Raw genomic sequence first — 23322 nt, forward strand, 5'->3', positions numbered from 1 at the left:
AAATATTGGAAACAGGCATTTCTTAGGCACTATGAATAATCTTTCCACTGACTTCTGAAAGCCTATATCAGGGATGGAAGCCTAGGGTCATTGAGGCACTGGGATCCAGGTTGAGGGCAGGTCAAGGCTGCTTGTGGTAAAGCTGGGACTAGAACCTCAGTCTGTGATCTCTAATCCGTTGAGTCCCCTATCAGACCAAATTGATTTTTCTTTGATAAAGCATTAACCTACTATTTCCCCAATTTCATTTTGAAATCATGGGTTGAGTCATGAAGAAGGCAGGTCATCTACCTATATAGAAGAACGCTGGGTCTACTGAAACATAGAGTGATTCCTTGCAGCTTCCAGAAGGGTTTGGGAGATTCAGTTGTGAATAATGCTAACACAGTTGCAATGTTAGATTAGTACAGGTTTACTTTTAAATATTTAATAATATAAAAGACTTGCATAGCTTCAATTCATTTAAGCTTCCCAATAATGGGTAAATTTTAAGTTTCCTGAAAAGTGAGATCATCCATGTAGACAATCCTGTTTTTGACATAATTGTCCAACGTGGAGGAGGAAACTTGTTAAGGCCTTCCATTTATCTTACCATCAGTGACAGCTGAGTCGATTTTCTCTTCTGGTGGGTATGCTTTGTTCCTTTTGGAAAATGCCTGGCTGATTTCTGCATAGGTTCTGTTTTTGGTCTCAGGCAGCACAAAATACAGGTAGATAGCACCTGTGATACAAATTGTAGCAAAGACTAGGAAACAGTAGGTGTCCAGACTTTTCTGTGGAAAGGCAGAGACAAAAACCCTCAAATAGATAATCAGTAAACTTGCTGTTAAACCATCTCTACACAGATTTTTAAGATAGCTCCACATTCATATACCAATACTCCTAGACAAAACACCATGTGTGATGCTGGCTCAATAAGGCAAGTGTACCCTACATGAAGTGTTATCACATAAGGCTTGAATAAATCAGCTTCAAACTCTGGGAAAGATGAGAAAATGGCACTTTTTTGTTGTTGTTGTTGCAAATTTGGCATTTAAAAATTAATCATCACGAAAGCAAAATGGAATGCTTGCTGAATATTAGCTTAAGCTTATATTTACAATTAACCACATTGTCTTCTTGCTTCTACTATACACATGAGACAAGAATGACATCAAAAGGGAAGAGAAATGCCTTAGTTCATAGGAAGAATGTGGAGCACAGAATAGGCCAAGGTAATGCCAGTTTTTTCTAATATGCAAATGATCTAACTCACTAATTGATACTCTGAGGCGGCCTTGCACAAATAAGAGAGATCAGAAAAAATAGAAATGCTCAATGCAATCACTCCGTTTTATGTATCCTGATTAGTGTTTGGACTAGAATAACCCTGCCAACTGCACTAGACCTTGAGCTTCTCAGTGACTCAGTCACCTCTGTAGCTCCTGTGCCTTATAGGAGGTACTCAGGACATATTTGTGGAATAAAAGACTTGAAATCCTAGCCTCAATCAATCTGCTTGCTTTGGTCTCCCAGGTACTGGGATTATAGGCATGAGCCACCATTCCAGAAATAAAAGACTTTCTGGGTCCCAGCTGTCAGGATTGTGACTATTATATGCAACAAACATCTACTGATCCAAAGATAAGGTGACACTGTCTTTGAATAATATTTCCCAAGAAGCAATATCCAGATTTTAGTCAATTCCATTCTATTCTTTGATTTGACAAACATTTATTTTTGGAGAATGGCAAAGTGCTTAAGCTTGATCCCTGGATCACATCCTAGATCTACCATTTACTAAATCTGAGACTCTTTGTCCCTCAGTTTCCATGATTGAAAAAGAGGATAATCATGGTACATGTAGGGTTGTTGTATGAATTAAATGAGACATTCCCTTTAAAGTGCCACATGCAGTAAATGTTCCACACCTGGGGGTGCTTAGCTCTTGAGACTGTGCCTTCTGCTCGTACAAAGACTTCAAGAGTAGTGTGGAGAAGGGGGAGAGTATGGGCTCTGAAGCCAGTCGAGTGGGATTCAAATCCTGATCCCATTACTCACATGTTGTTCTAACACTTATGATGTGCCATTTAAGATAGAATTTCAATCCACTGAGCATCTGTTTCCTCATTTGCAACATGGTGATATATACCCACACATTGTTTTGAAGATGAAATGAGATATATCAATTTTGCATTCAACATCCTCCACACCCCCATCTGCAGGCGGAATGGACATCTGACTTATCAAGTCCAAAGTGGAGCCTCTAAAACTGCCTGCTCTAGCCTTCCTCATCTCTGCTGATGGCACCTCCATCCTTCTGATTGATTATGCCAACAAAAACACTTGGAGGCAGGCTGAGCTTCTCTCTCTCTCTCCCACCCACATCTGCTCCATCAGGAAATCATGTTGCTCCACCTTGAAATGTATTCCAAATCTGAGGGTTTGTCATCACTTCTATTGTAACCTAATTTTGGTGCAAGCCACCATCATGTTTTGCTTGGATTTTTGCAATAGCTTGTCAACTGATTTCCCTGCTTTTCACTTTAAGCATAATCTTAAGATTATTCTTAACAGACAAGCCAGAGTGATCCTGTTAAACAAAGGACAAAACTTGTCACTCCTCTGCTCAAAACCCACCATGACTTCCTAAGTCACCTGCAGGAAAGCCAAAGTCCTCACCATGGCCTCCAAGGCCACCGACCATGTGTCCCTCTTATTTCTCTGATCTTACTCTCCTCACTTTCTTTGCCCCAACTCCACTGCCTTTATGATTTCCCTCCAGTATTAGGCCTCAGAATCTTTGCACATGCTGTTCTCTCTTGCTGGAATAATCTTCGTTTAGGCCTCTGTATATCCTGCTTTCTTACTCCTCTTCATCCGACTTAAAGGTCATTTTCTCAGAGAGGTTCTCGTTGACTCTCATTTTGAAATAGCCCCTCCCAGCCCTGCTTCATTGCCTTCAAAAACACTCATCACTATGCAGCATTATAGTGTGCAACTGCCTGTTTATTAACCTTCTCCCTACCAAGAGGTAACTATCTGAAGGCAGGAGTCATCATTTTTCTTGTATTCCCAGAGCCCGGAGAGTCTCTGATATACAGTAGATGCTCTGAGTATCTTAGTGAGTGGATGGATGGACTGAGGCTCAGAGAGGCTTCCTGCCGTATCCCAGGCCACAAACAGGGCTTCCTAGGACCTCTCTGACACCCACACAGCTGCCTCTTGCTTGGCTTTCTTTTCCCAAGGGACCTGATGGGTGTCGTGAGGATTATTCTCACAGTTTCACAAAATTCAGTCAAGAACATGTGGCTCAGCCGAGCACAGTAGCTCACACCTGTAATCCCAGCACTTTGGGAGGCTGAGGTGGGTGGATCACTTGAGGTCAGAAGTTCAGGACCAGCCCGGCCAACATTGTGAAACCCCATCTCTACTAAAATTACAAAAATTAGCTAGGCGTGGTGGCAGTCGCCTGTTATCCCAGCTACTTGAGAGACTGAGGTAAAGATTAAAACTGGACCCCCTCCTTACACCTTATACAAAAATTAACTCAAGATGCTTAAAGACTTAAATGTAAAACCCAAAACTATAAAAACCCTAGAAGAAAATCTAGGCAATACCATTCGGGACATAGTCACGGGCAAAGATTTCATGACAAAAATGTCAAAAAAAAAAAAAAAGAAGAGCAACAAAAGCAAAAATTGACGAATGGGATCTAATTAAACTAAAGAGCTTCTCCACTGCAAAAGAAACTATCATCATAGTGAACATACAACCTACACAATGAGAGAAAGTTTTTGCAATCTATCCATCTGACAGAGGTCTAATATCCAGAGTTCATAAGGAACTTAAACAAATTTACAAGAAAAAACAACCTCATTAAAAAGTGGGCAAAGGACACACACAGATGCTTCTCAAAAGAAGACATTCATATGGCCAAAAAACATATGAAAAAAAGCTCAACATCACTGATCATTAGAGAAAGGCAAATCAAAACCACAATGAGATACCATCTCATACCAGTCAAAATGGCGATTATTAAAAAGTCAAGAAACAACAGATGCTGGCGAGCTTGCGGAGAAAAAGGAATGCTTCTACATTGTTGGTGGGAGTTTAAATTAGTTCAATCATTGTGAAAAACAGCATGGTGATTCCTCAAAGACCTAGAGACAGAAATGCCATTTGTCTCAGCAATCCCATTACTGGGTATCTACCCAAAGGAATGTAAATCATTGTATTATAAAGATACATGCATGTGTATATTTATTGCAGCACTATTCACAACAGCAAAGATATGGAATCAACCCAAATGTGCATCAACGATAGACTGGATAAAGAAAATGTGGCACATATACACCATGGAATACTATGTAGCCATAAAAAGGAATGAGATCAAGTCCTTTGCAGTGACATGGATGGAGCTGGAAGCTGTTACCCTCAGAAAACTAACACAGGAACAGAAAACCAAACACTGCATGTTCTCACTTATAAGTGGGAGCTGAACAACGAGAACACATGGACACATTGAGGGGAACAATACTGGGGCCTATCAGGGGGTTGTGGTGGAGGGAGAGTGTTAGGAAGAATAGCTAATGGACTCTGGGTTTAATATTAATACCTAGGTGATTGGTTGATCTGTGTAGCAAACCACCACGGCATGTGTTTACTTGTGTAACAAACCTGCACATCCTGCACATGTACCCCAAACTTAGAATAAAAGTTGAAGAAAAACAAAAAGCTCAGAAAAAGTTTGACTAGTCCTGCCCGTCTCACTCTGCTTAGGCACTCAGGATATGACCCAATATTCTTCAGGTTGAAAAGAATAATTTGCTCTTTTCCAGAATTTATTGAGCTCAAACTGCATTTTATAACTTGAGTAGAATCAAAGAGGCATACATTTGCATGCAATTTTCTCTGAATCGGAAAATATTGGCACTCCACACTGGAGAGTGTTTTTCGCAGGCTTTATAACAAATGGCCCAAGCAACACTGATGCTGACCACAGCAAATGCTGCCAACAGGATCCCAGAGCCAGAGTGTGGAGGTGAGCATGAAGGGATGTGGGCTCCTCCCCACAACCACAGTTGCCTCCCTTCTCTGTTGGTGATGAGAAGGCTAAGGATTTTCCCTGTTTTACAGGTGAGGAAACCCAGGCTTGGAGAGGAAACCCATGCTTGAGGAGCATGCTCAGGGCCCTCCGCTAATACATGGGCTTCAATACAGGCGTGATTCGTGCCGTTGTCTGTGGCTCTACTGGCTCAGACATTTTATTCTGAGGAAGAAGCCCAGGCTTCTTAGGGGTCTGTTTGGGGGCTGGAATACATTTGCCACTGATACTTATTGGAATAAGTGAAACAATCAAGTTGTGTGAGTAGTTTCTCTTGGTGGCTGCTGTGGGCTGAACTGCGTCCCTCCTGAAATTCATACGTTGAGTCCTAAGCCCTAGCACCTCAGGATGTGATTAAGTTGAAATGAGGTCATTAGGGTGGGGCCCTAATCCAATATCCTGCTATTCTCATAAGAGAGGAGAAGAGGACACAGATCAACACAGAAGGGAGACCATGCGAGGACACAGGGAGAAGACAGCTGCAAGGAACATGGTTGTGCTTTGGTCAAGGGTAGGCTGAGGTAAACATCCAGAGTGACTCAGTGAGTTTAGAGGGCAGGTGTATAACTCTACTTGTTATCACAGCCATGTAGCCATAACATGGGAAGGGCATCCCTTGGCCCTACACCACTGTTGTCTGTAAAAGGTATAACTGCCCTGCTGACACTGTACATGCACTCTTGCGCTGCCGCCCAGAGAAAGAGAGAGAAAACCAGAGCTGTCCATCTGCAAAATGGAAAGAGGGGAGCCAGGACATAGCTTGAGTTCTGGTGCCCAGAGAAAGAGTTAAGCTGCTGACCTTGAAGGGCAAGCTGGCAGTGCAGCCATGTGTGGGAGCTGCTGGACTAAGCAGCCAAGACAGGGTGGACAGTGTGAGAGAACTAGTGTGAGTGAGCTTCTCATGAGAGACTACATTGCACCTGCCTACGGCCCCCTGAGTGTTCTTCCAGCTGTCTGCTCATCCACCCACTCCCTTCGGACCTCAGCATGAGCTGGAACCTGACCCTGGGGATAACAATTGGTGTAGTTGTGAACTTGACAACAGCCATTAACAAGCCAAGGAGAGGGGCCTCAGAAGAAATCAACCGTGCTAAGCCCTTGAGCTCAGACTTCTACCTTCTAGAATTGTGAGACAATAAATTTCTGTTGTTGAAGCTCCCTAGTCTGTGCTATTTGGTCATGGCGGCCCGAGGCCCGAGTAGATGAACACAGTAGCTCTTGATTGTGGCTGAGCTGGTTTTCAGAAGGGAGGTAGGTCAGAAATGGTTCACGTATGGCATCTAGAACACATACACGTTGCTCCCATGGGCGGGCGTGAGTGGGGCTGTGGTGGGCTGGGGTTGGGGGATGTGACTCAGAACTTGTTAGCCCTGTATTTCTCTAATGCATTGATCATTGCTCACAGCAGCCCCCTGAGCCCAGCTCTCTAACTTGCTAAGCTCCTCTCCGGAAAGGAAATTAACCGTGGGTGCCTTCCCAGGCTTGGGTCAGGAGGCTGACATTTCACAAAATACTAAACGTATCTACCTGCCCAGTGTCTCCATCTGTATGTCCAGCCTGGCTGTTCCTGCTCCGATGAAGGTTCATCAATAGTCACACCTGCAATGTTTCCCGAATGACCCCTGAAAACCCAGACACCCTGGACATACCCAGCTTCTCAGGAACTGTTTCCAGAGGGGATTTGTTTCGAAAATGCCCACAGGCATAAGAAAAGGCTCATAAATGACAGGCAAGAGAAGCAAGAACAAAACAAAGAATTGATTCCAGTTTTTAGAAATACAAAAAATTATCTAGGTTTGGAAGTGCAGTGACCTTGGAAGTTACTACATCTCTCTGAGCTCATCCCCTTGCCTGTCAAAGGGAGTGATACAGGCACTACCTCCTAGCACAGGCAGCGGTGGAGCACTCTGGGCACACAGCAAGCATTCAGTGAACACTATACTAAAGTGGCATGTTGGTGCTGTTAATGCTCAAACTGTGGCAGGCAAGCAAGGTCTTTCACACCCCACACCCCTGAGTGGCTCAGAAGATAGTGGCCTGCTTCTCGGACATACAAATCTCAGTACTGGGCCATGTGAAGGTGCTGGAACTTCTCTACTTAATTTATAAATGTGATGGGGGAACCATGTTGACAGAAGCAGCTTGAAGTTAACTTTTGCCACAATAATGAGGATTTTACTGACACCTGGCTCTGCTGGCTTTGAGCCAAACTGTAAAAAGCCACTTAAGGTTTAAAGTCAATTGAAAAGATACTTGTTATGTTCTGACTGCAGCCACGTGAAGGTGTCCCAGGATGGGAATAAATGAGTGTGGGATCTTGACTAACTCCATGGCTCATGGAGCCCCCAGCAGCCCTTACGTTTCAGAAATAGAGTGTTTGTTGCTAAAACACAAAGATGTCTTGAAAGTTACAGGGTGTGGCAGCCTTCTAACTCTGAGACGAGGAGGCTGTAGCAAGTGATGGATGGAGAGGGAAGTTGAGCACAAGGTGGTGAAGTGGAGAAACTGGGTTTGATGCTGACTGTGGGACCTGGGCTGACCATGTCTGCTTCCTGGACCTCCTTGCCTGTACAGTGGCAAGGATCAGAAACTCCAGCTCAGGACTGTGTGAGGGTGATGTGGGCACAGAAAGCCATGCATGGGGGAGGGTGCGGCACAGAGCAACTGCTCCGTAACTGTGAATGCAGGAACAGCCACCATGCTGGGGTGGCTGGGGCTTGGAGTGCCGCAAATACTGACCTTTGGCTCACCCAAGCTGGCAGCAGAATCTCTGGGATGTGTTGGGCTTGGCACTAGTAAATTAGCAGGCGGACTTAGAACTGAGTGTCCAGAATAGTTGGTGAGGGGAGGAAGACAGGAAGACAGGATTGAAATAGCTCCTGAGAATGGGTGGTGATGTATATGACGGATTCTCACCTCCTCCAGGTGGTACCACCCAGCACTGAGGGCAGCAGGGAGCCCTGGTGGGCATTTGAGCAGGGAAGCTTCATCCTCCTTCTGCAAATGCTTCTGGGCCCCTTGCTCTGTGCAGAAGGCTTGCAAAGCCTTTTGTGTTCCTGCTCCCAGATAACCCTCTTATCTGATCCTCTCTCTCACCCATCTTTCTTGCTCACTCTGTTTCAGTCATATAGGCCTCTGGGTGGTTTCTTACACAGGCCAAATATTAGCCCTGCCTAAGGGCCCTTGCACTTGCTGTTTTTCTAGCCAGGACTTCACCATTCCCAGACAGCTCTGCTCCCTCACTTCACTCAGGCCTCTGCGCAACGGTCACCTCCTTCCAGAGCCCTTCACGATTGCCCCATTTAAAATAGCACTTATGCCTCTTTTGTTTCCCCGTTCAGCTCCAGAACCAGGAAACACAGGCTTTGTTACCACTGTATCCTCATTGCCTAGAAAAGTGCCTGGCACACAGCTGGGACTCAACATATATATGTGTTGAATTAATGAATTCGGTTTCCAATGAACAGATCCTTTCCCTACCCAAAAAGACTTGTATCTGATTCTTGAGTATGTGGGCATTTTCCTACTGATCACTGTCACCCTTGGGACAATGATCCCATTAGCTGTGGTTATGATGATGACAATGAGGATGTTAAATGGGTGGTGGTTTGCAGTGTGCACTGGAACTATTAGATGGAATTTGTCTTACACAGTGATGAGCACATTGTAAAAATGATAAGTAGGTTGTAGGTTTGAGTTGCTAACCTAGGAGTCCTTGCATACCGTCAGCAATGGGTAGCCCACACCCTCTGAAAGAGCCCACAGCATTTAGGGAAGCTCTAGGAAGGCACAGGAAAGAGAAAGGGATGAAAGGTTTTGCCCAAAGCATAGTTTCTTCCTTCCTTAGGAAAATAGCATGAGTTTCCAGTTGAGAGGAGAGAGATCAACTTCTGCTCTATGAATCACCCCTCAAGTGCTGCAGAATCAAAGGGAACCCCATGGGCAAAAGACTCCTTGTCAGTCATACCTGAATGAATGGGAAGAGGAGCCCAACAGCAAAGTTGGAGAGCCAGTTGACGGTGCCTGCAATGATGAAGGCAGCCGGCCGCTGAGATTGCTGGAAGAACTCACCAGTCAAGATGAACGGGATGCCACCTGCAGTGTGTGAGCCAGGACATGGAATTAATCACTCTGAGAAGGTCATGCCTCCAGCATCCATCTCCATCTGCCACACTTTAGAACCCCCCCACCCCTGCCCCTTGACTGGATGTGTAGTGGGCCCCAGTTCCTGAGTCGCCCTGGTGGCATTGCAGTGGGACAAGTCTTTATTTTGAGAGACTGTCCTGTGCAATTGCAGGGCATTTATTACCCTTTACTTTCTGATGCCAGGAGAGCCTCCAGTCACCACCACAACCCAAGCCAACCCTACACATTTCCAAACTCACATGTGGTCTCAGGTCTATACCCTTCCTTTCCTCCATATCCTGTACAGTGAGACCAGTGATCACGCCCTGTGCCCAGACCAGGACCTAGGGCTCAGCATGACTGCTGGGATCCCACTTGAACCTCCCCATCTCCAGCTGGAGTCACCACTCTGCCAATGAGATCTACACCTGGGTGTTTCTCAGACAAGACAGAGTGGGTAATGGATGGGAAATCCCTCAGGGACTTTTACTAAACTCTAGAGAGACAGTGAACACAATTTGGAAATTACTAGGCTGGAGGCATTCATTGTGTCAACATCCAACAATTATTTATGTGCTGGGGCTGTTCCAACAGTGAGGTCAAAAGCAACATGTCCTTGCTTTCATGCGGAACCCTTGTCTGCTGGGATGACTTGTTCATTAAAATGGGAGTGAGTCCAGGAATGGAAAACCAAACATCGTATGTTGTCACTCAAAAGTGAGAGCTAAGCTACGAGGATGCAAAGGCATAAGAATGATACAACTGGGGCCAGGCGCGGTGGCTCACACCTGTAATCCCAGCACTTTGGGAGGCAGAGGCCAGTGGATTACATGAGGTCAGGAGTTTGAGACCAGCCTGACTAACATGGTGAAACCCCATCTCTACTAAAAATACAAAAATTAGCTGGGCGTGGTGGTGCATGCTTGTTATCCCGGCTACTCGAGAGGCTGAGGCAGGAGAATCATTTGAACCTGGAAGGTGGAGGTTGCAGTGAGCCGAGATCAAGCATATTGCACACCAGCCTGGGCAACAAGAGTGAAACTCCCTCTCAAAAAAAAAAAAAAAAAAAAAAAGATAAAAGAATGATACAACAGACTTTGGGAACTCGGGGGAAAGGGTGGGAGGGGGGTGAGTTATAAAACACTACAAATTGGGTGAATGTATACTGCTTGGGTGATGGGTGCATCAAAATCTCGGAAATCACCACCAAAAAACTTATTCATGTAACCAAACACCACCTGTTCCCCAAAAAACCTATGGAAATAAAAAAATAAAAATAAAAAAGGGGAGTGAGCAAATGAATAAATACATATAAATACAAAATGTGATAAGCATTCTGGAGGAGATGCACTGTCTATTTTGGCAGTGGGTGGAGAAGGATGCTCTGGGGAGGAGATGGTGGAGATGTGGATTGAAGACGGGAAGGTGGCTCCTGAAGATCTGGGGAAGATCATGCCGAGTGGAGGGAGGGGCCAGCAGAGGTCCTACAGGTGAAAGGATTGGGCCAAAGTCTACAACAGGGGCCAATCTGTCCAGACACCTGAAGGAGGCAGAGAGGAATGGGGTGAGGTAGCAAATGTGAGCAGGGCCAATGAAGCAGCCTCTTGTAGATCATGGAGAGGGGTTTGCAGTTGAAGAAAACCACTTTGGGCTGCTATGCAGCAGTTGAGGTGATCAATTTGCATTTCACAGAGGTCACTGCTCTTTGGAGAAAAGCCTGGAGGGTGTAGGAGAGGATGCAGCAGGCTGTTGGGGCAGTCCAGGGAGGAGGCAATGGTTGTTTAGGGGGGCTCAGATCACGGCAGGTGAGATGAAAGGAAGGGTCTGAATTTGGAGACAATTGCTCCATTGAGGTAAAGCTTTCAAGGTAAGCATTGCACATACACAATCACTTAGCAAGCCGACCCAACCAAGCAGCCCAGGGTGACAAAGCCACAAAGCCAAGGCCAACTCAAGTCTGAATCTCTCCAGACCTTTCACCGTTATCACCCCACTATGATGCCAGCAAGGCTTGCACTCCAACAAATCAAAAACAACTCGGAATGGAGCGTCCCCTCACCTCCCACTACACTGTGAGCCCCTCTGATCAGGCACTATCTCCATTTGTCTGGCATTTCCCACAGAGTAGATACTCCATCAATATTTACTTACATAAGTTAAATGCTCAAAAGTTGATTTTGACAAGATTTGATATGCTGTTCACTACAAAAATATTAGACTCTATATCTTAAAGGTATCTATTGAACTGTGTGAGAATAATGGTTACACACTGAAATGTAATGAAACCAGCCTTTGGTTCTGCAAAATATTTCATTGTCAGAAAGTGTTTGTGTCACACACTCAGTTGGTCCTGCAGCTAACACCACTGGGAATCAGTTCACAGCAATTCTGAAGCCTGAACAGGGTTAGGTGATGATGTTTCACTTTCTGTGTCTTTCCTAGGTGTGTTTTTGGAAGCACCTGTGGATAACTCAGTACTTCTGAGGCTGGTACAATGGAATGCGGTACATCAATGTACAATGCAGTAGAACACTGACAAATTGCCTCCTGGTACATCTCTTTGTTTCTTCAGGGCTTGAGGCCATGACTTGTTTATTGGTTAAGACTCCTGATCCTAGCACAGTGCTGAACACATACCAGGTGCTCTGTAAGTGTTTGCAGGATTGATGAAAGAACAAATAATTAGGATGCCAGGGAATTCATGGTACATTGATATCAGATCCTCTCTTTCACTAGGCCTTCAGACCAAGCCCTAAGCAACCATGAGGAGCCTGCACAGCTCCACTGTACACAGGTGTGTTCACTCCCATTATCTCCCTTGATCTTCCCAACCAGAGAAGGTGGTAAAGCATAGTGGACTGGAGCTTGGGCTTTGGTGTTAGTAAGATCAGGTTTAAGTCCTATCTCAGCTAAATCTTTCTAGAACGGAATTCTCTCACCTGTAAAGTGAGTAGGAGCTTGCTACTGGGGATATTTGTGAGCATGAAATGAACTACTAAATGCAAACACTTAATATAAGTCTTGTACATGAAGGGCACTCAATAGGTGTTAGATACTATAATAATAATAATCAAGACTCCTCTCCATTATATCCCCCATTTTATGATGAGTTAGCTGAAGCTAAGAGAAGGGGAGTAATATATGCAAGGTTTCTTAGCAAGAAGTGATGGTGATGAAGAAGATGATGATGGTAATGATGATGACGATGGTGCTTCTGTAGCTGCTGGTGAAGATGATGATGGTAACTGTGGCAGGCATTATGAAAAGCATTTTACAAGGTCTCTACAAGGAGAACTACAAACCACTGCTTAAAGAAATCATAGATGGCACAAACAAATGGAAAAACATTCCATGCTCATTGATAAAAAGAACTAATATTGTTAAAATTGCCCACAGCAATTTATGAATTCAATGTTATTCCCATTAAACTACCATTGACATTCTTCACAGAGCCATAAAAAACCGTTTTAAAATTCATGTGGAACCAAAAAAGAGACTGAATAGCCAAGGCAATGCTAAGCAAAAAGAACAAAGCTGGGGGCATCATACTACCTGACTTAAAACAATACTACAGAATTATAGTAACCAAAACAGCATGGTACTGGTACAAGAACACATATATAGACCAATGGAACAAAATAGAGAACCCAGAAATAAGACTGTGCACCTACAACTATCTGATCTTTGACACACCTGACAAAAACAAGCAATGGGGAAAGGACTGTATTCAATAAATGTTGTTGGGATAAATGGCTAGCCATTTGCAGAAGATTGAAACTGGACTCCTCCCTTACACCATATACAAAAATACACTCAAGATGGATTAAATACTTAAATGTAAAACCCAAAACTATAGAAACCCTGGAAGACAACCTAGGCAATACCATTCGGCAAATAGGCACAGGCAAAGATTTCATGACGAGAACACCAAAAGCAATTGCAACAAAAGCAAAAATTGACAAATGGGATCCAATTAAACTAAAGAGCTTTTGCACAACAAAAGAAACTATCAACAGAGTAAACAGACAACCTATAGAATGGGAGAAATTTTTGCAAACTATGCATCTGACAAAGATCCAGCATCTATATGAAACTTAAACAAATTTACAAGAATAAAACCCATTAAAAAGCAGGCAAAGGACATGAACACTTTTCAAAAGAAGACATACATGTGGTTAAAAATCATATGAAGAAAAGCTCAATATCACTGATCATTAGAGAAATGTAAATCAAAACCACAATGAGATACCATCTCACAACAGTCATAATGCCTATTACTAAAAACTAAAAAAATAACAGATACTGGCTGGGTTGTGGAGAAAAAGGAACATTTATACACTGTTCGTGGGAGTGTAAATTAGTTCAACCATTATGGAAGACAGTGTGGCCGTTCCTCAAAGACCTAAAGACAGAACTACTATTCGACCCAGCAATCTCATTACCAGGTATATACCCAAAGGAATACAAATACAAAGATACATGCATGTGTATGTTCATTGCAGCATTATTCACAATAGGAAAGACATGGAATCATCCTAGATGCCCATCAATGATAGACTGGATAAAGAAAATGTGGTATATATACACTATGGAATACTATGCAGCCATAAAAAAAGAATGAGATCATGTCCTTTGCAGGGACATGGATGGAACTGGAGGCCATTATCCTAGCAAACTAAATGCAGGAACAGAAAACCAAATATTACATTTTCTCACTTATAAATGGGAGCTAAATGATGAGAACAAATGGACACATAGAGCGGAACAACACACACTGGGGCTTACTGGAGGGTGGGAAAACAGAGAGGATCAGGAAAAATATTAATAACAAATAGGTACTAGGCTTGGTACCTGGGTGATGAAATAATCTGCATAACAAACCCTTATGAAACACATTTACCTATGTAACAAACCTGCACATGTACCCCGAACTTAAAAATAAAAGTTTAAAAAAGCACTTTACATATATTATCTTATTTAATTATCACTATGATATGATAGTTACTGCTATTATTTTTCCATTTACTATACAAAGAAACTTAGGCTTGTGGAAGGTAAGTAATTTTTTCAAGAGCACATCACCAGTAAGCTGCAAACTCAGTGACTCTGGGTAACTCCACAGCATGAGTTTTAACTACTCCCTTGGGCCCCAAGCAAGTCTAAGATACTAACAAAACTTAAAATACTTGAAAAGAACTTAGCTATCTTCATAGTTTTATCTGAATGCTCTCCCAAACCCTGCAATTCATTTATCTCTCTTACTGAAGGCCTTGGTGGCCTGATTTCCTAAGAGTCTTTTAAGGTCTCTTTCTTCCAATCCAAGGTAAAATGAGAAAGAATGGGGTTTGATAAAGAAACAGAATGCATTTCAGGCAGGCCTTCTTTTATTTTTATTTTGTTTTTAAGAATGAAAATAGTTTTATTGTTTTTTTCTGACTTTCATGAATAATATTTGCTCATGTAAAATAATTTTTTAAAGCATGCAACATGACAAAGTATAAAAAGGAAACAAAAATTACCTCTAAGCCTTCCACCTAGAGATGATCTCCATTTGTATTTTGGTATTTAGCTTTGATGTTAAATGTTCTGTGAAGAAGATTGGGGCTACTTGGGATATTTGTCTTTTAGGTGTTTGCCTTTTTCTACCTAGAACCCTGAGGAAATTGTTCTTTATCTTTGAAATTCATTAACTATGATGTTTTTGGTTGTATTAGTCCATTTTTGCACTGCTATAAAGATATACCTGACACTGAGTAATTTATAAAGAATAAAGATTTAATTGACTCAGAGTTCCAAATGGCTGCGGAGGCCTCAGGAAACTTACAATCGTGGAGGAAGGCAAAGGGGAAGCAAGACACGTCTTACCATATCAAAAGAGGACAAAGAGAGAAAGCAGGGGAAACTTCCACTTTGAAACCATTAGATCTTGTGAGAACTCCCTCTCTATCACAAGAACAGCATGGGGGAACTACTCCCATGATTCAATCACCTCCTACAAGTCCCTCCCCTGACATGTGGGGATTACAATTCGAGATGAGATTTGGGTAGGGACACAGAACCAAATCATATTCTGGTGTTGATTTTCCTATAGCAACTTTTTGTAGAACATAGCATATCCCTTTGAGCTGCAGATCCACTCTTCATTTACTTCTTATGTTATACCTTTGAAAATGTCTTATTTTCTACATGTTGGATTCTTTGCTTTAGAGACACCCATTATCCTTGTGTTGGATCAGCTTTGTTTCCCTTTCCTATTGGCCATCTCGTGAGCGACTTTGTTCTCTTGTTTTCTGCATAGATATTGTATGCTCTGGGAAATCTCTCTCTTCCTTCTTCTCTCCCTTTCTTTCCTTTCTTCTTTGTTCTAGTTTCCCAGGTTGGCTCTTTCCCTGTGCATTGTCCTCCATTTCTCTTATCCTTATTGCAGTGAGCTACTTTGTCCAGATTGCCACCTGCTGTGATATGATGGAAGACCGATCTTTGACACCTTTTCTTTTTATCTTCTAGTTTATCTTGGCTTTCACATCACAGTTTGAGATCTGAGTACTAACTTTCAGTAAGTTTTCAATAAATTATGGGAAAATGTGGCAGGGGTGGGGTGGGTAGAAAAATTGGTTAGGGGTGTCAGCAGCCCTTTATGGAGGATCTGGGTTCTTCTCTCTCTCTTCTTAGATTTTGTAAAGTGACATGCACCGGAACCCATTCCATGTTGTCAGGGGCATATTCTACTCCAGTGGCCTTTAACTGGTTTCCTCAAATTAGGACATAGTCTTAGGAAGTGGCAATCCCCAGGACCCTTTGAGAGGGCTGTTTGGGGGGAAGGTATCTTCTTGATCTTTCTCTGCAATTGCTGACTCACCTGCTCACTCTGTCTCCCCCATAAAATCAAGGTGGTAGCAAGAGTTCTTAGGGTTCATAAAATCTCCTTCTCTGGTCAGTGCTGTTTTCTAAAGAGTGGAGACAGAATCTCCTATGCTAGAATTATCCTTTATTGGCTGCTAGTTTTCTAGGTATGTGATATATTTCCTTGTTTGGTTACTGCTGGCCATTTTTTTTCAATCTGTGTAAAGGTTTGCTTTGTTGGTATTGTTATTGATTTTAACGACTCTTTTCCTGCTCATTTTCTTAGGTATTTGCAGGAGGAAGGTTCTGTAACAAGTCTATACATGACCATATTTACCTAAAATCCCTTGATTATTAGCTTTTCAAAGGTAAGTTATTGGTATTTCTTGTGGTAGGTGTGTAGGTGCTGCTCATCTGAAAATCATATGCTTCAAAATTAAAGAGCAGGTGAAAACAATCCCTTCTTACAAAGGATTTTGCCAAGAGAGTGCCTTCTTTAAAATTCTGTGGTTTGCGACCTTTACTTTTGTGGACTTTTTTATTCATAAAAATACTTGGCACACCTTATCTCATCAAATCTTTCTTCATGACCAAACTATGAATTATGAATTGTAATTACAGATTCGGAAACTGAAATTTCAGGGAATAGAGGGCCTTGCCCAGTTACTAGTCCTGCTTGTGACTGGAAGAGATAGGACATGAAGTTGGGTCTTCTGACCATGTCCTTTTGATGGCACCTCTCATTTCAAAAGAACAGAAAGATGGGGAAGGTGTCATGTCTGTATCCAATGTGTCTTGCACAGGGTACTCTTCATATCACAGTACTCAATATATGTTGCCCAACAGTCCAATATAGCTTAAACTTTGAAAATTAGCCCCAAATAATTATGTATGTGGGTCCACTCATCTTGTTATCTTATTAGAGTCTTCTTTGCTATCTTGTTTGAGTATCCTATTCTGGATTGCCCCAGAAGCAGACCCTGAGAAGCAGTTTATGTGCCAGTTGATCCCAGGAAATGCAGGGAAGAGTGCAGGGAGGTGAAAGAGGTGGATAAGGGCTATGTTATTAGCAACACCACCATGGGAAGTCACATCTTAATCCAACTGGGACCCTCGGGAAACTGTGGAAAACACATCTCAGAGTTACCCAGTCTGAGGGGTAGGAGGGCTGGATTATTTATCCACCATGTCTCATCAGTCACTCATTGAGTGTTATACTTTGAGCAGTGCTTTTGGCCTGCCACAATGTGGGCTGAGAGAGCTGGGGAAGTCCTCAAGCAAAAAGCCACATACGGGAGCAGTTGTAGGTCTGTCTGAGAATCACAAAGGGGTGTGGACAAAGGGATTTGGGGAAGATAACAAGAATCTTTGCTATGCCATCTATTCCTTAAGTGTTTAACTTCTCATTGACTATTGCAATAATCAGGTAGCCATTACTAATAACAACAGTGAAGAAAATGTTTATATCATATACACCTAAGTACTAGTTTCAGGAGTTGGGGTATAACACTAGCATTAAGAACATGGGGTGGAGGTCCCACACTCTAATTAGGAGCATGGAGTGGGGGTCTTATGCTAAAGTTAGGGGCCTGGGGTGAGGGTGTAACACTATAGTTAGGGGCCTGGGTGGGGGTCTGATACTATAGTTTGGAGCATGCTGCTTGAATCAGACCATCTGGGTTAGAGTCTTGGCTCTGCCACTTGCAGGCTCTATGTGACCTTGGGCACATTAGTTCACCTTTCTGGCTCGACTTTCCTCCTCTGTAAAGCAAGGACAATGGAATTGATTTTATGGGGTCATTGCAAAGCTTAAAGGACCTAATGCAGAGAATACACATTGAATTGTGTCTGAGGTGTGATGAACACTCAATAGCTTTTAATGATGATTATTATTATTCAGAAGAAGCATGTTCCAGGAGAATATTCATCCTGTGATCTGAGTAAGCTTCCTGGCTCCTGGATCCCATGGACACTGAGCCACACTTGTTGACTAACTGTTTTTCCTGAGTGGGTGGTTTGCCCACCAATTTGCTTTGGCAGAAAAGGCCTTCCCCAATAACATATAGTGGCTCTTGCCTTAGTAGCACATGCACTGTGGAAAAGGAAACCAGATTTGAATCCATGCATTTGAGGCATAGAATCCTATGATACTGCCTAGGACTCTAGGTAAAATAAAAACTCTTATTTTACAGATTAGGAAAATGAAGCTCAGAGAGGGAAATGTATTTGCTCAAGGTAATGAAACTTGGTGGAAGAGCCAGATTTAGTAAAAAAAAAATAATAATAAAAAAAAAAAAAAGTCCTTCTGACTCCTTTCTTTACAGAATAACAAGAGGTGATATGGATTGAGGTATATGTCCCTCACCTTGAATTTATTTTATTCCCCTCTTTCTTTCTCTCCATCTCTCCTTCCCCCACTCATTTTTCTCCCTTCTTGCCAGGAAAATAGAAAATACGTGCTGATTAATTGAGTATTCTATGTAAAGAATTGCCAAGTAATTTAAAAAATTCTGTAGATATCCTAAAAATATTCCTAATAATTTTGAGACATTATCTACTTCATTAGTAATGCCATTATTTTTCCTTCAGAAATGTTCATAAGCAAAGAAATATTCTTCCCCCTCATTGGTAAATTCCTAATAGTTATACTTAGTTATGTTCAAGTGAAAAGGAATTGAATTATGCACGTTCTTCATATGAGACTTACTTTTTGAAAACTGACTTTTCCTCCAGATCTCTGTTCTCTGTGAATCTGTGCTACAGCTCAGCTGGTCTAACAACCAAGCTGTCTTGTGGCGACAGCGCCCTGGTGTCTACAGTGAGGAACAATCTGCTACCTTTCTTTCTCCAGAGATAAACCTGATATAAATTCCCATCACTTTACCTACTAGCTATGTGACCACATGTATCTATGGTTCTCAGTTTTCTCATCTATAAAATGAAGATAACAATAGTTCCTACTTAGTTTTGTTTTATGCATTAAATGAGACTGTGCTTAGCAATGCACACCTGTGGTATTTCTGTAAAGCCAGCTTTGTTATTTCTGCTTCCAGCAATGTTTCCTACATATTATCTTTAGGCCCTTTCTCCCTCCTCTCTATTTTCTAACTCTTGCCCACGTACCCTAGAAAAAGTTCAATTTTTTTTTTTGAGACAGAGTCTCGCTCTGTTGTCCAGGCTGGAGTGCAGTGGCGCAATCTCGGCTCACTGCAAGCTCCACCTCCTGGGTTCATGCCATTCTCCTGCCTCAGCCTCCTGAGTAGCTGGGACTACAGGTGCCCGCCACCACACATGGATAATTTTTTGTATTTTTAGTAGAGATGGGGTTTCACCGTGTTAGCCAGGATGGTCTTGATCTCCTGACCTCGTGATCCGCCTGCCTCGGCCCCCCAAAGTGCTGAGATTACAGGCGTGAGCCACCACGCCCAGCCAAAAGTTCAATTTTAATTTTATTTTTGAATAAAAGAAATAAAGGACAACTGCCCAAGCTTTTCCTTAATTCATATTTATTAAAATTATTCCAATGGAACCACGATCATCAATTTCTTTTTTTTTTTTTTTTTTTTGAGACGGAGTCTCGCTCTGTCGCCCAGGCTGGAGTGCAGTGGCGCGATCTCGGCTCACTGCAAGCTCCGCCTCCCGGGTTCACGCCATTCTCCTGCCTCAGCCTCCCGAGTAGCTGGGACTACAGGCGCCCGCTACCACGACCGGCTAATTTTTTTGTATTTTTAGTAGAGACGGGGTTTCACCGTGTTAGCCAGGATGGTCTCGATCTCCTGACCTCGTGATCCGCCCGCCTCGGCCTCCCAAAGTGCTGGGATTACAGGCGTGAGCCACCGCGCCCGGCCCTGATCATCAATTTCTAAAGCCCTTCAAAATGCCTATAAACCCCCTTAGAAATTTCCTTAAGTGTATCCATATGTCACTTAATCCTTTAAATAAATTTTCCGTTAAGCACCATGTTTAAAAATAGCTCTTTTCTTTTATTGAAATACAGTCATTTTGAAAACTCTTCACGGGCATTCTGTTTTGTTTATGTAAATAGACTTAATCTTGTTCATCCATTCGTTCATCCATTTCCATCCGACATTTACATGTCAAGTCCTGTGCTAGGCAATTGCAGACTCTACTAGTTGATGTAAGAACTATCTTGGGAGGCAGTTATTCTAACTCCATTTAACGGTGAAGAAGTTGCGACCCAGAGTAGAGAGTGACTTGCTCAAGGTGGCACGAGCAGTAAATGATAGACTTGGCTCCGAATCCAAGAGATCCGGACCCAGGTAAGAGACTCTCTCCTCTGCCCTTTCTCTAGGAGAGACATTTGAGAATTTGAAAATGCACAGGCTCCCAAACAGATGTGTTCCATGACAACAGCCAAGATATATCAGCAAATAGAACTCATGCCCTGCAGCATGTTGGAAAGGGTGGGACTGGAGTGCACACAGGAAGCTCCTCCCCTCACAGGATGTATGCCAGGTCTGTCCTCTCATTTCTGAGAGGAGCTTAGACACCCACCTGCTCAGGCATGTGCTTCCTAGGTAGGGAGGCAGGGGAGGCTGCTGAGCAACTAGGGATGAGGAGGTATAGCAGATGCTTCCTGGGGTCTCCTTGCAGAGCCTTGACTCACCCTGACTCTCAGTGGGCTCCTCTGGCTCTGCTGACCACCAGGTGAGAGGCTTTGGTCCTTCTCTAGACCTCAGTTTCCTTGCCTATAATCTCATTTAATGAGCTATTTAAAATCTCAGTAAAGTCGAAACCTTGATAGTGCTTACTTGGCACATGGCAAATTATTACCATGTGGAGGTAGCCAGGCTAGTAGCTAAGACCATTGGCACTAACTCTTGCCCAAGTAACCAGAGAAAGCTCAATTGTAATTTCATTTTTACATAAAAGAAATAAAGTGCACACCCAAACTTTTCCTTAATTCATATTTATTAAAATTATTCCAGTGGAACCACTATCATCAATTTCTAAAGCCCCCCCAAATGCCTAGAAATCTCCTTAAAAATCTCCACAAGTGTGTCCATATGTCACTTAATCCTTTAGATATATTTTCTCTTAGTCACCAGGTTTAACCCAGTTTAAATTCCCACCTCTCCACTTCCAAGCTGTGTAACCACAGGTAAGTCGTATCTCTGGCTCTCCATTTTCTTGTACATAAAATGAGGACAGAACAGGAGTTCCTGCCTCTTAGGTCTGTACTGGGGATTAAATGAGATAATGCTTAGCAACATGTTTAATGTGTGGCTGTATTAGTCCGTTTTCACACTGCTGTGAAGAACTACCTGAGACTGGGTAATTTATGAAGAAAAGAGGCTTAATTGACTTACAGTTCTGCACGGCTGGAGAAGCCTGAGGAAACTTATGATCATGGTGGAAAGGGAAGGGGAAGCAAGTATATCTTACTGTGGTGGAGCAGGGGAGAGAAAGTGAAGGCGGAGATGTCATACACTTTTAAACCATCAGATCTCATGAGAACTCACTCACTATCATGAGAACAGCATAAAAGAAACCACCTCCGTGATCCAATCACCTCCAACCAGGTCCCTCCCCTGACACATGGGAATTACAATTTGACATGAGATTTGGGTGGGCACACAGAGCCAAACCATATTGGCAAAGGCCCAATCAATATCAATGATTACGGCGATTCCTCTTCTGCCTGTCATTAATCCCCTCAGTGTTTGCTGGGAACGGACTACGTGCCAGGAACCCATGCTGGGGCATCAATGGTGGCAGAAAGCTGATTCAACTTCTGCCTTCAAGGAGCCGTCAGCATCTGAGGTCCACTGAGTCAAGAAAACCAGCCCTGAGCACAAGATTAACGTTCTCCTTCATTGGGCAGTAATAATAAAAATAGTTAAAATTTATTGAGCACTTTCTATGTGTTCTTGAAAGGTTTTCCCTTTGTAGGGTTTCTAATTATTTTAGAAAAGGAGTGATAAAATGTCATCAGATATGGCATCAGACATTGTTGATCTTGGGCAAGGAAGATCAAATTATCAGGAGTCACTGGTCTGAACTGAAAGAGCAAAGGAATTTTCCTCCTGTTGTATCCAGAGACACTGCAAAAGTTAGAGGCAGAAAATATCTTAGGGACCCCCTAGGCCAGCCCCAACCCAATATTTCAGGTGGGGAAACTGAGGCTAGAGAGGTGGAGTGAGACTCCCAGTGTTTCAGAGGAGTAGGATCCAGGACTTCCAAACTAGCCTGATTGACTGCTCTACTGTGTCCTCCCTAGGAATTCCTGGTGCCCACCCATGCTTAGACTGTTCCCACTGCTGGAAATGCCCCCGAGCTTTGGAAAGATTTCAAGGCACACAAGGATATGGGTAATTTACTTCACATGAGCTTGGCTCCCAGTATAGGATAAAGAAGCAATGGCGCCTTTTTCCCCTTCTACACAGCCCAACCAGGTAGCCAGCATAAGTAACTACACAAGCCTGTGGTCTCACCACATGGGATGTGTTTTCTAAAAAAAAAAAAAAAAAATGGAAAGGAGACTTCTCCAGGAATGGGCATGAGACATGAGCATGTATTAATTAGGCAAAAGGGGCAGGTCCCTCCACCACTACCTTATTCTCGATCACAGCCTCATGTTTATTTATTTCCATGGATTGCATCATCATCTTTGCATTTATCTTTTGCTTGTTCATTGTGCTCCTCGAGGGCAGGCATCTTGTCTCTTTTTCTCCCTGTTGCTTGCCCCATAGCCAATCATGTCTGTCTCTTGGGTGCTTGACAGATGTTTGCTGAATGTGCAGATGAAGGGAAAATGATGACAGTTAAACAGATCTTTTAAGGATGAGTGGAAATTCTTTTTTTTTTTTTTTTTGGAGACCGAGTCTCACTCTGTCACCCAGGCTGGAGTGGAGTGCAGTGGCACGATCTCGGCTCACTGCAAGCTCCACCTCCCAGTTTCACGCCATTCTCCTGCCTCAGCCTCCCGAGTAGCTGGGACTACAGGCACCCGCTACCACGCCCGGCTAATTTTGTATTTTTAGTAAAGCCGGGGTTTCTGCATGTTGGTCAGGCTGGTCTCAATCTCCTGACCTTGTGATCCGCCTGCCTCGGCCTCCCGAAGTGCTGGGATTACAGGCGTGAGCCACCGTGCCTGGCCAGAAATTCTTTATGCAGTTGAGGAGATGGAGGGCTAACCAGGGTGCACGTTCAGTGAGAGCCTGGGCTGCGATGGGGAGGTGGGACAGGAGAGGCATCTTGTGAGGGGCCAGCAGGGGTGGATTCTAGGGTGTCTAGGAGGCCATGCT

The 23322-nt window shown here is 43.2% G+C and overlaps 1 protein-coding gene across 22 annotated transcripts in view; it reads right to left on the bottom strand.

The window, feature by feature from the left end:
• Window positions 1–23322, bottom strand: part of SLC2A9 (solute carrier family 2 member 9) — a 269246-nt gene that overhangs the window by 54803 nt on the left and 191121 nt on the right. For 11 of the 22 annotated variants that reach the window (XM_011513867.4, XM_011513858.2, XM_011513856.4 and 8 more), the window contains one exon: window positions 9054–9181. In XM_011513867.4, the coding sequence (XP_011512169.1) occupies window positions 9054–9181 (128 nt within the window). Of the gene's footprint in view, window positions 1–396; window positions 774–9053; window positions 9182–23322 lie in introns of those variants that run through there. The other 11 variants (XM_047415973.1, XM_017008457.3, XM_006713968.5 and 8 more) reach the window with 2 other exon arrangements.

Source organism: Homo sapiens, chromosome 4 (genome assembly GCF_000001405.40).
Source record: "Homo sapiens chromosome 4, GRCh38.p14 Primary Assembly".
NCBI lineage: Eukaryota > Metazoa > Chordata > Mammalia > Primates > Hominidae > Homo > Homo sapiens.